The 17876-nt window shown below is 41.2% G+C and overlaps 1 protein-coding gene across 52 annotated transcripts in view, besides 2 other annotated features; it reads right to left on the bottom strand.

Annotated features, from left to right (window-relative positions):
* Positions 1 to 17876, bottom strand: part of NRXN3 (neurexin 3) — a 1697919-nt gene that overhangs the window by 1236183 nt on the left and 443860 nt on the right. The gene's annotated exons all lie outside the window — the stretch shown is intronic.
* Positions 4709 to 5003: an enhancer, noted in NCBI's record as "tiled region #7209; K562 Activating non-DNase unmatched - State 24:Quies". NCBI's record gives its function as "activates a minimal TATA promoter and a strong SV40 promoter by Sharpr-MPRA in K562 cells {active_cell/tissue: K562}" and the evidence as "EXISTENCE:reporter gene assay evidence [ECO:0000049][PMID:27701403]".
* Positions 4709 to 5003: a silencer, noted in NCBI's record as "tiled region #7209; HepG2 Repressive non-DNase unmatched - State 24:Quies". NCBI's record gives its function as "weakly represses a minimal TATA promoter and a strong SV40 promoter by Sharpr-MPRA in HepG2 cells {active_cell/tissue: HepG2}" and the evidence as "EXISTENCE:reporter gene assay evidence [ECO:0000049][PMID:27701403]".

Here is a 17876-nt window from a genome sequence, read left to right as displayed (position 1 = left end):
GGAGTCTCGCTCTGTCGCCCAGGCTGGAGTGCAGTGGCGCGATCTCGGCTCACTGCAAGCTCCGCCTCCTGGGTTCACACCATTCTCCTGCCTCAGCCGCCTGAGAAGGTGGGACTACAGGCAGCCGCCACCACGCCCGGCTAATTTTTTGTATTTTTTTTTTTTAGCAGAGACGGGGTTTCACCAAATTAGCCAGGATGGTCTTGATCTCCTGACCTGATCCTCCTGATCCTCCTGATCCTGCCGCCTCAGCCTCCAAAGTGCTGGGATTACAGGCATGAGCCTGATACATTGAGTCTAATGCTCCTTTAACCATTTACAGATGCTGCAACACCCCAACAACCCCATCCAAAGCCAAACAGCTAGAATCAGAGCTATGACACCAGAGGGCTAAGGTCAGAAATATGCTCAGGGATTGTGCAAGGTAGCTGCAGAAAGGGAAATGGTTAGTTGATTTGTGATTAAAAGAAACAACAAAACTGAGAGTATTAAGCCTCTCTGAAATGAACACTCAAATTGGTTTAGTTTTGTAACTTGTAAAGACATTTGTGATGGATAATTTACATTTCCTATGCTATCCATGAAACCAAAATTCTAAACCTCTTCAGAAATACCGGATATGATTTATCAATGATTTTTTTAATCCACGAGTTATGACAAAACTGTGAATGATTTGGATATCTCAACTGTGGTAGGAGATCCCAGACTTAGAGAAGTTGTGATATTTGTACATATCAGCAGTTGGTCAAGGTTTCTGACCACACTTTGTAGATGAATGAATCAGAACAAAGAAAAGCAAGAATACTTGGTTAGAATACACAAAAACCTTGTCCAGGAATTAAGAAAATGAGGACCGGTGGCTCATCCCTGCCAGATGTAGTGAAATCTCCATGTAGGTATCTGCAAAGATGTATCTTGCTACTGATAGAAGTTGAGATCTAAGAGGATGTTAAATGAACCTGATTCTCTGATTTACAGGCCCGGAAACTTGGTCTTATCTGAATGATTATCTCATGGGAGGTTGACCACACCAACTATAATGAACATGAGACTAGGATAAACAACAGAATGCCATTAAAATAATTTACAATAAAAACTTACTATCAAAAAACTCTACAGTCCACAGACTTAGATTTCAACTATTGATCCCCAAGCAATGGTCTAAGGGAAAGTTTTCATCAATCTATAATACATTTAGAAAAATGGCCGGGTGCAGCGGCTCACGTCTGTAATCCCAGCACTTTGGGAGGCCGAGGTGGGCGGACCACGAGGTCAGGAGATCGAGACCATCCTGGCTAACACGGTGAAACCCCGTCTCTACTAAAAATACAGAAAAAGTAGCTGGGTGTTGTGGCAGGCACCTGCAGTCCCAGCTACTCTGGAAGATGAGGCAGGAGAATGGCGTGAACCCAGGAGGCGGAGCTTGCCGTGAGCCAAGATCGCGCCACTGCACTCCAGCCTGGGTGACAGAATGAGACTCCGTCTCAAAAACAACAAAAAAAAAAAAAAAAGAAAGAAAGAAAGAAAAATAAGAAGAGTGTAGTACATTTGTAGTAAAAGCTAAATTTATGCACTGTGCATTTATTCAACAAATATTTATGTAGGATCTATGCCACACCACACACTGCTAGGCACTGGGAACATAGTGATAAACACATCACTCTGGAACCCTTGTAAAATTTACATTCTACTCCTTTCTACTTTTTTGGTTTTGTAATTTCCTGTCTTATAAAATGATGGCAAGGATAGACAAAATTTGTTAATGTTATTATTTAAATAAATAGAAAAGTAGTCAACTCTATTTTCTTTTTTCATAAAAATTTTCTTCATCAACAAGATCCAAAAGTTATAAATAATCTGGAACCAGAGATTCTTTTCGTTTTGAGTTGTCAGTCAGATGTTAGTCTAAACATGGTGCTGTCCTGAAAAGAGGTCCACCAGGTGCTTCAAGTAGAATAACCAGCCATCCCAATTTGCCTAGAAATGAGAAGTTCACTAGGACTTTTAGTGCTAAAATAGCTGGTTCCTAGAAAACCAGGAAGGCTGGTCATTCTACATGGATCAGATGTCAGAAGGTAAAAAATAAAGCACATCAAGTAAAAACTCTCCATTAGCTAGAATCATTGGCAAATAAAGGGCATCGAGTTAGTGTGATGTTTTTGTTAGCTATTAATTTCTAATCATTGTAAATTTGGCATTTTGGTTTTTGAAGAACTAGTAATTACATGAACAATATAAGTAATGTATTCATTGTTATGGTATAATACTTTTTAAAGTCATTATTTTCTGCTAACCTAAAGTCATCCTATGAATAAGGTGAACTCCCTTTGAGAATTCAGAAGAGTCTTTGAGATTCCATAGCACCTCACAGTCATCTAGCTCATTATCAATTATCATTGTACACCACCATGAATAAACTGCTTTTGCTTTTGCAATTGTTTGAATTTGGGATCACAAGTGTCCTCTGTATTATAAGTAGCTAATTACGTTGTATGGAATGATTTGTGCAAACAGAAGTGTTCTCTCAAGGATTACATGGATAACTCCAGAAACAGGCAGAAACTTCACAAAAGCTTTAGGATGGCAGCCTCCAGTGCATCCAGGTTTGGCAGAAAAGATCTGTCTTGCATTCCCGAGTGCTGCTCATTCCTCCTTCCCCTCCATGCTACCCTCCTAACTCTGCTTCAACCAGCTATGAGCATCCATCTGCTGGGGCCTTTTGAGCATTCCTCAATGACATTGTGTCACTTTATGAAAGAGTAATGATGTACCACTACCTCGGCTAAAGTAGAAAAGTAAGAAGACATCATAGAAGAAAGGAGAGAGAAAGGAGCCAATACTTATTTTTTCTCTATTACGTGCCTGTCATCGCAAGAGGCCCTTTACAAATAGTCTCCTCAATTCTATAACCTTAAACAGTAAGCATCATTATCACTGTTTCATACCAGGAAACTCCCAGAGCCCTTGAAATGGGGGTGATGATAGTGATGATGCCAGCTACCATTTTTGAAGCTTATTGTGTATCAGGGCTTTAGCTCTGGCTTTGTATTAATGTTTCATAGAATCTTCACAACAACCTATTTAGGTATTATTATTGACAGTTTTCAAGGAGGGGAGCTGAGATTTAGGGGTCCAGGGTCATCCAATTAGAATAATAATTGACAAGGGAATTTAGAATGAAGCTAGAATTGGGTATAACTCCAACCTTCTTGTTTCTCCTACCAAAACAAGAGTTTGTTTTGGGTAAAAGGCACTGCAGTGAGAGCAGAAGCTAAGCAATTCACTGTGTGATCTTCTAGGGCTTCTGTGGCTGCTAGCCTGGACAGTGGTTCTTTCCCGAGGGTTCTCCCAAGGTGACAGAGCTCTAGTTAAAACCCTTTGGCTCCCTTTTCTATGGCAAGACAGCAGAACTACCAATATAACCAGATTACATATCCTTTATGGCCAACATTATCTACCCCAATTCCTCTTTGTACCCAACCATTACTGGGGTTGGCCAGGGAGAGCCAAATAAACATAGTTAACTGTGTGTTACTTGAAGGCTTTAAGTTACCCACTCACTCAATAATTTTATTCATTCATTCAGCAAACCTTTATTGAGAACACTTGTCATGTGCCAGGTTGACAGTGAAAACAGGAGTTCTGTCACATTTTAGCATGTCATATTTTTCAGGTACATTATGGTAGGAAGTATCCTTAAATCAGGTTATTGTGAAGTATAAAAAAATTGTTTTGAAAACATGAAGAATTTGCTGAGCCATATTGGCTTATGCCTGAAATCCTGGTGACTCAGAAGGATCACTTGAAGCCAGGAGTTCCAGACCAGCCTGGGCAACAAAGAGACCCTATCTCTACAAAAAATAAAAAGATTATCTGGGCACGGTGGCATGTGTCTATAGTCCCAGCTACTTGGGAGGCTGAGGCAGGAGTGTTGTTTGAGCCCAGGAGTTCGAGGCTGCAGTGAGTCATGATCACACTACTGCACTCCAGCCTGAGTGACAGCGTAAGATTTGGTCTCTTAAAAAAAAAAAAAAAAAGAACTCTGCAATGCTATGGTATTATCCATATCAACTATTCTTTTTCCCATTCCAGAAGATGACCACCATTTCTTTAAAAGCTCTGCAGCACTCCATCATGAATTTTTGCATAGGCTATTTGGATGAGTTCCAAGGGCTTTGACTTTGGGTTTACCTCAAGGTACTTACATAAAAAGGAATTAACTGGTTTTCATAGCCATGTCCAAGAAGGGGTATGCTCCTCACTTCTACTTTGCAAATGATATCAGGAAGATGAATTCTAGATATTATCTATGAAAAGTGCTTTAAAAACCACACATTTTCTACTTCTTTTTACAAGGCTAGTATAGTTTCATGCTTTCCCAAAGTAATTAGCAATATACCCAAGACCAGAACCTAGGCTTTCTGATTTTTATATAAGTTCATTAGTTGTAAAATAACCATGAAGCAGATATATTAACAGGGGACAACTTTGATTTCCAGGATGTTAGATTCCTAATTCCCAGTTGAGTCCTTACTCCAAGCCTCCTGCATGTGTGCCTCATCCAGATTCACATTTCCATCAACGTCCCAGAGTCACTGGAGCTGGCACTGGGCAGCACCTGCCTCTGGAAAAGGGCTCTGGGTAAGTAATGCACTGCTTAGTGCTCACATAGCCAAGCTGCTCATTTCATGTAAGTTGCCTTTTCTACTCATTGAGCTCTTTTTTTCTTTCCACTGCAACAGTGTAGCCTCTATGACTTCAGGGAGAGAATGCTGCCTAAATGACTCCAATCCAGTCTCCTGAAGGCCTTATCAGCTGTGTACAGCCCCTCTTCTGACAGCTGACCTTTCCCACTGTGCTCAAGTCTAGGGAAAAACAAAGGCACTGAAACAATTAAAAACAGTGAAAGAAGAGGGAAATTGAAAAAGAAACTCTAGCCTGATGCAGAGCAGTCTAATAAAAATGAGAGAGAGAGAGAGAGAGAGAGAGAGAGAGAGAGAGAGAAGGGAGGGAGGGAGGAAGGGAGGGAAAGAGAAACAAACAAACAAAAAAGCTAAGAGAGTGAAAAAGGACAAGCTAAAGAAGATTGGATTCTCCCAGACCTCTTTATTTCTCTTCCTGATGGCTGTAGAAGGCATGAAAGGGCTGTTAATAAATCTGAGAGCCATGCTGGTAGGGGAAAATAAAGAGGACAAGAAAAGAAGGAGAAGTTATGGCATGCAATGGCTTGTGATATATAAAATGCTTCTCCACTCTCTGTGAGCCCTGACGGGCATTCCAAGTGATAAGAGTGCTCTAGGCCTCAGTGCTCTCTGAAAGACAATCTCCTTTTTTCAATAACAGAGGAGCCAACCACCTGGCCTCCTACCTACCCTCAAAAACCCTCCAGGCAGGGATAGCCCTCTGAAGACCCTATAAGCACATTCCTTTATGTCATCACTACTTGGCAAATTGCTTTCCTCTTCCATCTCATCTGAAATACATGAATGACTTTTTATCTGACATTGACATAGACCACTTTGGGGAGATATATGTACATCCATTCACATAGAGGTCAGAACATTCTTGATATTTTGCAATAAAATTACTTGTAAACAAACATACATTCCTGAAGTCAAAAATTATATGTATTTTTAAATTCTTTATATGTATTTTGAAGGGAAAAAATAATAACGATTGATGCCTTTAACTCTCTGGATGGAGTTTAGGAAGCACCCATGATGATTGTTTTCTACAGATCTGTGAAAGATGCATTTCATTTTGCTCTCCCTGTTGAATATGACACAAACTATATTGACACAGGTGCCTTTTTAGACATATTTGCAGTGCAATCCTCCCACCCTTGAAGAGATGAGAGCTGCGCACTGTAGTTAAAGCTCACCACGTAACAAGCTATGTAAAGGGAAGTGAATCTGAGAAGGGTCAGGTGTTGCTGGAGTACCTTTCCGGGGTTCTGAGTGGTTCCCCAGATTGGATGCTGCAAGTGCCTTGCTGCCTTAAAAGTTGTTTTTCACTGGCCATAGGGCTGCACTGTTTAATAATAATGGCAATGACCAATTCTAGATGGCTGGTCAATGCTGAGCACCAGGCTTACCTCCTTGCCTGGACTATTGTGTGGAGCCGTCACAACTCAGAGACAAGTGTTGTGACAGTCTCTTCTACAGACATGGGAGTTGAGGCTTGGTAACCTGTCCATTGAAAGAGGTAGCATCGAGGATCAAAACCAGGTTTTGCTGACCCCAAATCCTTTACTCACTCTTTACTACTGCCCTGTACTGCCTTGCCAGGTAACCTTGAGCCTCACACACACATGGACTGAGATCCATCAATTGATGCCTTCTCTGAAGCCCCAAAGACTACTTCAGCTTTCCAGGGATGCAAGCCTGGGGAAGTTCTGAGGATGTGACTGATTGTTGAGCATCATTTCTTCTACACCTCTGATGGAGGATATAACCTGTGTCCTCCCAGTCTGAAGATAAGAAGGTTCCCTTTCAGCTCCTATGCCTAGCTCTTTCCTGTCCAAGTCCTTCCCAGATGCAGACAACCCAGGCTAAGTCCAAGAGAACCATGCCTCCCTGGAGAGTACAAGGAGGTTGCCAGTAACCTTCCTTTGATGTAAGAGATTAGTATTTCTGGTTTTCTATTAGTCACAAGCTAAATTAAAAAACCAACAAAAGAAATCAAAACAAAACCCAAAATCACAACTTTGGATGCTCTTGCAAAAGCATAGTGTTGGTTGTGGGATCTTACCAAGATTAATATCTTTTGGGTATGGTGAGTTGGGAGAGAAGCAAGTCCCATGGCTTATCTTATACTCTATCATGGATAAATCTTAAAAGCAAAAAGAATAATCCCTCGTGTTTCTCATAAGATTCCAGTACAATTTTAAAAAAATGTATTCTTCATAACTAGAAGGAAACTTGGAGATGTCCCTAGTCAAATGCCCTCATTTTAAAGATAAGGAACAGGGACCAGGTGCGGTGGCTCACGCCTGTAATCCCAACACTTTGGGAGGCCAAGGCGGGTGGATCTTGAGGTCAGGAGTTCAAGACCAGCCTGACCAATAAGGTGAAACCCCGTCTCTACTAAAAATACAAAAATTAGCCGGGCATGGTGGCACACGCCTGTAGTCCCAGCTACTCAGGAGGCTGAGGCAAGAGAATCGCTTGAACCTGGGAGGCGGAGGTTGCAGTGAACCAAGATCGCACCACTGCACTCCAGCCTGGGTGACACAGCGAGACTCCTTCTCAAAACAAACAAACAAACAAACAAACAAACACACACACACACACACACACAAAGGAACAGGAAGTCAAGGGGTCAGTAGACGTGGGACTGGGTTACAAAGCTAGCCAGATGCAGAGCCAGGGCTCCCACCCCATCACCTCAGACCCAGGCGAGGTCTCTTCCCCAGGTTGTCTGTGTATTGCTCTCCAATCTATCTTGCCATCCTAGACTTCCAGATCCTTCTCTTTCCCAGTTCACCTTGCTTGGTCCTGCAATTCTCTTCTGGAAAGGCTGTGTGAGCCTCTTCCCAACAAAAGATGGCAGAGGGGAGCATGTTCCCACTGTGCAGGATCCAGCACCTGGCCCCGCCCCTGTGCAGTGGGCATACCGCCCCCCTCTTGCCATGCCAGCTCTCAGGGAAACTGTTCACTGCACAACTTTTTCCATCTCCTCATCCATCCACATCCTCTGTTCTGCTTCGAGTGCTTAATAAGCACCCAGTGTGTCAGGGGCATAATAGCTACCTCCCTGTGTGAGAAGAATTTGCATTTTTTAAAGGAGGGGCTGTTGCTCAATCCAATGTAATCAAGACATAACTGTGAAATTTCAGGCATCAGTAAGAGTTTTTTGGAGGGTATGCTCCATGAAGTCCCTCAAATTACATCACCTAGCAACTGCCAATTCTGACTTTTCATAATGCTTATCCTGACTCCATTTGAGGTGGATATAGCATTTTGACTATTCAGCTATATATGTAAAGCAAACAAATCTGTAGGTGTCTGCTCTCAATCATAGTCCATAGAAAATCCTACATTGGGCTGAAAGGGCACGCTAATCAAGTCATCATGTTCATTGGGTAACAAACCCTATAACCAGGAGCCTTATTTCTAATCACTTACTTATTCTTCTTCTAGTCGGATGGTAAGGGGTAGTGCTACTATAGAAAATGGTATCTACTACAGAATGGCTGTCTACTATGAAAGAATGACTACTCTAAATGAATGGCATCAGCCCGGGTGCCATGGCTCACGCATGACTGTAATCCCAACATTTTGGGAGGCCAAGGTGGGCGGATCACCTGAGGTCAGGAGTTTTAGACCAGCCTGACCAACATGGTGAAACCCCGTCTCTACTAAACATACAAAAATTAGCCAGGCGTGGTGGTGTGTGCCTATAAATACCAGCTACTTGGGAGGCTGAGGCAGGAGAATAGCTTGAACCTGGGAGGCGGAGGTTGCAGTAAGCCGAGATCACGCCACTGCACTCCAGCCTGGGCAACTGAGTGAGGCTCTGTCTCAAAAAATAAAAATAAAATAAAATAAATGAATGGCATCTGCTATAGAATGGCTATTTGCTATAAATGAATGGCAATAAATGAATGGCATCTACTGTAGCATGGTTATCTACTATGGCCAATTCTTCATGCCATCTGTGGAAGGGAGTGATGGAAGCTAAAACATGTTAGCAAACAAGTCAACTGACAATTTGAGTCATCAGAAGCCAGTGGCCAAAAAGAATTTTTCACACGTTAGAGATTGTCAAAGGCCTTTCTTAAGTAGTTATCCATTTTTAAAACAACTCTCCCTTTCTACTGAAAAGAGAGAAGGGTTACTGAAAAACTCTGGAGACTAGAACTCTAAACTCTCATGAAATCTGAGTTCTGTAGCCTGAGAGGGAGGAAAACATTGAATTAACATACATAATGTATAAAGGAAGGCAGTGATGAAATAATGCTCAGGCTTTGGAGTCAGAAAGAATCTCAACCTTCCTTAGAAGTCATGTGATTTTCAGCAAATTACTTAATCTCTTTAAGCTTCAGTTTAGCCATCCGCAAATTAGAGAAAAATAATAATTTATAAGTCCTGGGGTTTTTTGTAGAGACGAAGAGACATAATATACAGAAAGCACTGTGCTGGGATCATTAGTAAGTAATTAATAAATGGTACCAGCTTATTAAAAATTGCACTTTAAGTCTTAAAGCAAAATAAGTCATATCAGTTACTTCAAAAGAGCTTAATACAAAACCACAACAACTTTTAAGATAAAGCTTCTGCTTTGCAAAGTTTACCAAATGAAAGCACGGAAAGGTCAAGAAATACAAAATCCAGAATGTTTCTCCCACAGATCTTGCCAACAAATGGTTTTGTGTCAGGAAAATCACTTGCTAACCCTGAGTGCTTCTCCTACTGCGTGCCCAATCACCCTGCACTCACAGAGGTGCTCTCTTTGTGCCACTTTAAGAAGACACTTTAAGAGGCAGTATTCATTGTAAGCTATAAGAAAGAGCAGATGTCAGTGGAAGACTATTCACTTTTCCTAGGATTCCTTTCTAAAGCTCACGATTGCTTTGTGGGACCAGAAGAAGAGAGAAGAATCCTCTGATGGATCCCCAGACCCCAAACGCATGTCCTTTGGCTATAGTGAAATGGATCTGTAGTATCACAAAACAAAACAAACAAACAAACAAACAAAAAACAGGATGAATTTTACATAATAAAGTACTTCACTTCCATAAACCATCACAGAACAGAAGATCTGTGAAATGTGGCATGAGATATACCAAAGTACCTTTTCACTGTTCTGCCATGGCCATTTTGGAAATATGTTTGCTTTATTGTTCCAAGTCATGGGTGTTTTGTCTTGGGTGAGAATTGAGGACAAGTGAATGCTATTTGAAAGGCTAGTCAAACTGGCAGCTGGGTGGGGAGCAGGGGGACAATATTCTCCAAGTTATCACTCACTCTGTAGTACCATGGGGCATTGATCCAGCTCTATCCCATCCCACCCCTTCACTTTAAATTATGAACATAACTTCCTTAGTTGCCAATCAGAAAATCCTCATCTGACAGAACCAATGTCTTAGCACTAACAGGTAGTAAGCATATACCCTCTATGTAAATCTTTGACACATATTACCTTACTAATAGGTAGTAAGGTACTAATAGGTACTAATACCCTCTATGTAAATCATTTTGGTATATGCTTACTACCTATTAGTAAGGTAATAAGTGTCAAGCTCACTGTCACAAATCCAAATGTCCAGCTTCATTTCAGAGACATTAGTCCATCTTGCTTGAAAGTGTCAGTAGTTTCAAAGCTACAGCAAACCGCAGATGCAAGTGAGCAAATACATCAACCGAAACACATAGGGCATCTAGGTGAAAGTTAATTATTCAAACAAGGACGACAGTACTTATGTACAATTTAATGGGAAAAAATTACACTAATGCCTCCTAATTGGGCAAAAGATTGGTATGATTGAATAAAAAATTAACAAATGCTTTCTGAGGGAAATGTTGATTTATTATCTCCAAGAACATAAGGTAAAGAAAAGAAAACCACTCTGTTAAATGTGTGTGGGACTCTTGCAAGTGATTTAAAAATGGACATTCATTTGTAATTAGTGTATTTGTTATTTGAATAAAATAATTGTCCTGAAGTAGTGAAGATTGGTAGTAATTTACTGATTTGATCCGATAGAATAGGCTGACCACTTTCTCTTTTTGTTTTATAAATCCTCCTCTCAACCTACATGGTATAAAGGTAAATTTTAGCTTAACATGACTAAATTAGGAAAATACAGAATTAGTGCAGTCAAAACTAAAGGGATTTTACTGAAAAAAGAAAAATGCTGTCTTATTTCTTTGTGCCTCTCATCTAGAAAAAAAATGAATGCTTTGCATTCATGTGGACCATGCAAGAGCCAACAGAGCTTCATCAAAATATCCCTCAATGCTCTAGATCTTGGTATTTCTCTGTCTTCCTAGTCCTGTAATGAGACTGAACTTGGCTCATATTCAATCTTCACCCCAGCCCATATTCTTTCTTACCCCAACAGCTCATACCACAAGGATTAAACATTCCTTTAAAATATTGGTTGATCCTTCTGAAGCTGGAGAGAAAGATTGGAACTTCCAGAATCATAATTCCTCCTCTCAAATTCTGGAGACTCTTAACTTGTTTGGTCCTTCCTGGGTAGTTGAGGAAAGCTCTTATCTTGATCCTGGTTCTTAACCTATGTGACACTGGGCAAGTTATTTAAACTCTCTATGTCTCGGTTTCCTCACCTATAAAATAGGTATAATAATATAATAACTGTAGCTCTCACCTGAGGTTGTAGTAAAGTATAAATGAAATTATACATGGAAAGCATGCCAGATCAGAGCCTATAGTAAACACTCAACAAATCATCATCAGCAGCAGCAGCATCATTATTTTACTTGAGTTTCAATATAATTTCCAGCACCGTAAACACGACAGTGCTTTCATCTTCCTCTATATTCTGATTCTCAGATGCCAAGAAACACCATCCACTCTGGGTGAGGGTCTGCCTGTTTTGTCAGTGATTCCCCCTTTGGCCATATCTGCTGTTCTATGTGGTCGTAGCCACCAACTGGGCATGTACCTCTGATAAAAAGGCATTCATTTGCTAGCTACTCTGCAGTGATGTGTTTACTGTGAACAAAGACGTGAGGGAGGAGGGGGAATAAATCAGAAACAGTACAAGCAGGTTATTTTTCTAGCTGCCTAACACATTATCTGCATGCAGCTAAGGATTGCGCTATCCAAATATTACATAAAGGGCCAGGGAGACACCTCAGTAAACATTCTATCTGCATTTGTCTGAAATAATAAAAAGTGTCCCAAAGTTGGAATCGCTTCAAATGCATTTGGTGTTTTTCTTCTTTTTTTAGACCCTACCATTAGTATACCAACCCACTAATTGATTCTCAAGAGTGTAAAAACAGGTAACTTTATGCCTGTAAAATAACTCCTAGCCCTGTTTCACCTACAAGACAGTATCTTAGCCAGTTTGGGCTGCTGTAACAAAATACCATAGACTGGGTGACTTAAGCAGCCAACATTTATTTTGCACAGTTCTGGAGGCTAGGAAGTCCAAGATCAAAGTGCTGGCAGATTCGGTGCCTGGTGAGTGCCCTCTTTCTGATTTGTAGATGGCCATCTTCTTCCTGTGTCCTCACATGGCCGAGAAAAAGGGAAGACTCTTGTCTCTTCCTCTTGTTCTAAGGGCATTATATTAGTCCATTTTTCTACTGCTGTAAAGAACTACCTGAGGCTGGGTAATTTATAAAGGAAAGAGGTTTAATTGACTCACATTTCAGCATGGCTTGGGAAACCTCAGGAAATTTACAATCATGGTGGAAGGCAAAGAGGAAGCAAGGCACCCTCTTTGCAAGGCGCCAGGAAGGAGAAATGCCAAGCAAAGAGGGCAAGAGCCCCTTATAAAACCATCAGATCTCATTAGAACTCACTCACTATCACAAGAGCAGTATGAGGGAGCAACCCCCATGATTCAATTACCTCCACCTGGTCTCTCCCTTGACACATGGGGATTATGGGGATTATGGGAATCTCAATTCAAGATGAGATTCGGGTGGGACACAAAGCTTAACCATATCGAGCACTCTTCTTATAATCATTTTCTTATCCCATAAGGGGGCTCTATCCCCATGTCCTCATCTAAACCTAATTACCTCCCTACCTACCTCAAATACCATCACATTGGGGATTAGGGCTTCAACATATGAACAGTGGGTGTGGGAGGGGGAAAAACATTCAGTCTATAGCAGCAAGAATAAATGGAAAATTCAGAATATAATTTTAGAAGCAAGGCCGTCTAAATGAAAAGGTGACAGGTAACAGGCTCCTCAATCTTTCCCTGATGTCCAGTGGCTTTTGATTTCTCTAACATCCTGTGACCCTCAACTGAGGGAGAGGAGGAGCTCTGTGGAGAATACTAACAGCAGGCAAAGACTTCTGACTTCTAGACGATGCTCCTCCCTCCCTGATGGAACTCCTCAAGGGGATAGTCTCGGATGCAACAGTAATGGGTTTGAAGGTCAACTATGTACATGTCCAAATCAACTGGTAGAACACAGCCATTGCATTAAGGGGTCATACATAAAGTCACAGGAATAATCAGAGGACAAAGAAAGAAGCAAAATTCCTAAAGTTCTAATAATGCCTTATTTTAATTTCTACAGAAGTCCTCTTTTATTTGGAGCACAAAAATTTCTTTTTTTCTTTTTTGGCACCAAAGCACTAAAAAATGTTACCACCAGTGGCTGCAACTAACAGGGTATCCTTGAATAAAATCAGTTAATTTTTCTGATCCTCAGTTTTCCTACCATATAAAGAAGACTGCATTACTTCATGGATTGTTTGAAGATGAAATGAGATGATGCAGATGTACAGAACACATGGAGGAAGCTCGCTAAGGTTTGTTCTCCTGGGAGAACATTCTCTCTCAGCTGTTTTCCAGCCCTGATGCTCAGCGTGTGCACTTCCAGAGTCAGCATTCACAGAATGCACAGTTTTCCAGAGGGACGGTGACTGCGCTGCATGTAATTTCAAAGCTGGTGCGCTGACATTGCCCTTCAGCTAACTTCCAGCACACTTCAGGCCTGTGTTCTGTGCTCACTGCCTTAGCATTGCCAGTGTAGGTTTGCGGGGTAAATATGTGTCAAGTGGCAAAACTCTTCCCACTAAAGATCTAGAGAAGAGAGAGCTTCATCAAATACATACCTTAGCCCACAGCTTGGCTTTTCATCTGTTTAGCTGCTGAGTTGTTTTGTTTTTGCCACATCAAAAAAAAAAAAAAAGGTATAGCACAACTCTGTAAGTGGTGGCCTGGAGAAGCTTATGTGCATTAAGTGTGTTAGGCTTGAAGTTTTTTGTCTTCTGATTTATATGTTGATAAATTCCTGCACCTGAACAAGGGACTAGTTAAGCCAGACACATGTTAACACTAACACAAGTACAAATAACTTTTCGGGTGCTAACTGTAAAACAGTAGACAGAGAAGATGGGGGTATGGAGATACATAAGAATGATTGATTGATAAATAGATAGATAGGTGGATGGATAGATGATGAATAATCGTTGAAAGATAAATAGGTGATAATTGATACAAAGTTGGTGCAAAAGTAATTGCGGTTTTTGCCATTACTTTCAATGGCAAAAACCGCAATTACTTTTGCACCAAGCTAATAGAAACTAGAGAATAGATGATAGATAGACAGATATAGATATAACTTTATATACATTTTAATATGATATGTACACATACTTTGTACGTATGTTTTGTAACACAGATGCTTAAAATTAAGGAAACAGTGATCTTCTAGTCTAACACCTCACATTATAGACTGAAGAGACTGAGGCCCAGGAAAGTGAAGGGTCGAGCTCAGGTCACAAAGCAGACTCCAAGAAGCAACCCAGAGCTTCTTCCTTGTTTGTGCATTCCCCATCCCATTAGAATAGGGCAAATGAACAAGGAAAGGATGAGAGAAGAAATCTGACCAGCCAAGAATCATCTGTCTCCTCCTGAAGGGATTCAACCTGGGTTTTGCAGTAATACCAACTGGGCCACAGGGATTCTAAATGTTCATTCTGCAGGACAGCATGTCCTATAAAACCAGCCCCAGCCATGGAAAGCCTGGCTGTAAACCCCAGCCCTAAAAACTCTTAACACTACCATTTTATGGCAAAGCTCACATGTAAGACAGAGCCCTATGGGTCATCTCTATGGGTCACGTGGGATGGAGATGTGTATTCTCTCCTGCTCCTGTGAGCTCCTCTCTTTTGGTAGCCACCCAATGGGGAGTGGCTGTCAGCAATTTCCTTCCTCCAACAGCTGGGAGGTGGTTTTCTGCAGTTAGCTGCCATTTGTAGCAATTATGTGTATTAATCATAGCCTTCATCCTGATGGTATTCTTCAGGAAAAAAAATATATATACATATCAGGGCTTTTGTTTTTTAACCAAGCTGCTTCCTCACTCAGAACAGAATTTGGTAGTAGCAAGAGAAAAAGAAAATAATCAGAGATTATTTAGGTTAGTGCAGTGGGGGGTGAGCAGGCATGTGGGGACACTGGGCCCACTGAAAGCCAGGAAGTCGATAATGCAACTTGGGGACAGTAATATCCTAATATTACAAACACATGGAGAACTCAGCTAATTTGTAACGATGGCATTCATTCTTTCATTACATATTAATTCATGTATTCAAACATTTATTGAGCCCTTACTATATGCCAGATTGCATATTTCTTCTAAGAACTCCAGTTGTGTTTTAAGAACAAAACCAAAGGTAATTAGGAATTATTTCAGAAGCAGAGTGCATTATCTCACATCACCCTTGCCCATCTGTGCCCTCTTGGGCCTATCATTCCCTCATTTTTTATTTATCACATATTTATAGCAAGAGAACTCTGAAGCAGAGAGCTATGTGTGAATATTCACTGGTGAACAAAGCTGCATAGGGCTTGTCCTCATCAATCTTGCATTGTAGTGAGGGAGACGGCCCTCAAACAAAGAAAAGCCTACAGATGGACGTAACTTTGAATCGTGCTAAAAACTCCGTGGAGACAAGATCAGGGTGGAATAAGAGGAAAGAGAAAGTAGAAGGAGCTAATTTAGATGAAGAATTAAGGAAGCTCTTGAAGAAGCAGGGTTTAAACGGAAACCTGCAAATGAGTACGAGTTAGCCTTTGGGAGGGGAGGGAGAGCAGAAAAGAGCTTGATGAATTTGAAGGCTAATGGGGCAAATGCACCAAGAGTAACAAGAGAGCAGTGTAAGAGGAAGTTGCAGAGGTGGCCAAGTGCTACCTGCTGGGCTTTGCAAACCTTGCCAAGAAGTTTGGACTTTATCCTAAGAAAAATGGAAACCATTAAAGGGTTTTAAGCTTAGAGAGACAGGGTATGATTTATACTTTAAAAAGATCACTCTGGCTGCTATGTAAATAATCCACTGGAGGAGCTGAGTGAGTCAGGGAGACTATTGGTAGGCTTCTGCAGTTATGCAGGTGATGAGTGATGGCGGCACGGACTTGGATAGTGACAGTAGAGATGGAGACATGGGGATGAATCTGAGGGTTTTGTTGATTTGTTTTGTTTTGTTTGGAGATGATCTTGCTTTGTCACCCAGGCTGGAGTATAGTGATTTAATCATAGCTTACTTCAGCCTTAAACTCCTGGTCTCCAGTGATCCTCCTGCCTTAGTCTCCCACCTCAGTCTCCTGAGTAGTTAGGACTACAGGCATATGCCACTATGCCCACATCCAACTAATTGTTTTGTTTTTTTTGGGGGTAGAGACTGTGTCTCACCATGTTGTCCAGGCTGGTCCTAAACTCCTGGCCTCAAGCAATCCTCCCACTTTGGCCTCCCAAAGTGCTGGGATCACAGGCCTGAGCCACTGTACCCATCCTGGATCTTAGTTTTTTTGGTTATTGTTGTTGTTGTTGTTTTTGAGATGGAGTCTCACACTGTCGCCCAGGCTGAAGTGCAGTGGTGCGATCTCAGCTCACTGCAAGCTCCACCTCCCGGGTTCACGCCATTCTCCTGCCTCAGCCTCCCAAGTAGCTGGGACTACAGGCACCCGCCACCACAACAGACTAATTTTTTTTTTTTTTTTTGTATTTTCAGTAGAGATGGGGTTTCACCGTGTTAGCTAGGATGGTTTCGATCTCCTGAACTCGTGATCCACCCACCTCGGCCTCCCAAAGTGCTGGGATTATAGGCGTGAGCCACCGCGCCCGGCCCTGGATCTTAGTTTTAACTGAGGGGTAAAATCAATAAATCTGTTCAATCTTTGAGCCTTTATTTGGCTTACTTATTACAAAGCAGCTAAAAGTAGCTGCTTGGCCTATAGTGAGACTATAGTGAGGACCTAATGAGATAAAAGTTCAATGGTATACATGTAAGATATTGTTATTATCATGGTAATATGACCATTGTGATTCTATCCACTTCCAGTTGTTTCAAAACCTCAACTTGTAAGGGACAATTAGCCTAATCTAACCATGGAAATACGAGGAGCATCCCTACCTTCGTCAAGATCCCGGTGGAAGTGGGTAGAGGGGTGCATTTAGGCTCTGTTCTTCCCGGGCCTAACACCATCCCACGGCAGAAAACTGGGCACTGAAGAAGGCTTAGTCATGCTTTGAGGTCCCTAGAGTTCCACTAGCTGCTGAGCCCCCAGCTAGTCTATTACCACTATAGTGCCCTAAATTGCATCATAAGGGCCCACAAGAGTTGTTTCATTACCTAATTTGCTGTAGGGAGTGCCTTGGGCACAATTGACCCAGAAAATTGCCATCCAGCATAGCCTTATATTCTTTAAGAATTCCCAGAAACAAAATAATGCCCCAAGAGATCAACAAACTTCAAGTGCAAAATATGTTTTCTGTGGGGTGATACAGTTGTATGTGTATATATAGCAAAATCTTATTTGAAATGTGAAGTCCATGGAGGAATGATTCAACCTTTAAGAGCCCACAGGTCTCAAATGTTTGTCTTTTTTTTTTTTTAATTCTACAATGTGTTGCATGCTTTGCCTATTTTAAGAAGCAGAGTATGTTGGGCATAATTTGCTTAATTAATAAAATGTTATTAATCCCATATTCTGGGTTCTGCCATCATCTTTTTATATTTTCTTGGATAAATCATCTATCTTTTCATATGTAAAAGTAGGCTTTTTCACTAGATTGGGGCTTCACAAGATCTTTTTAGTAAACAGCCAATTTTGTTTTATTTTGTTTTTTAGATTTTTCCATCCTTTCAGATCAATACATGCCCTACTGTGAAGAACTACCAGCTCATGCCACATATGACTCACCAAGTAAGTT

This window comes from Homo sapiens, chromosome 14 (genome assembly GCF_000001405.40).
Source record: "Homo sapiens chromosome 14, GRCh38.p14 Primary Assembly".
Classification (NCBI taxonomy): Eukaryota; Metazoa; Chordata; class Mammalia; order Primates; family Hominidae; genus Homo; species Homo sapiens.
This window is presented reverse-complemented; position numbering and strand designations above follow the sequence as displayed.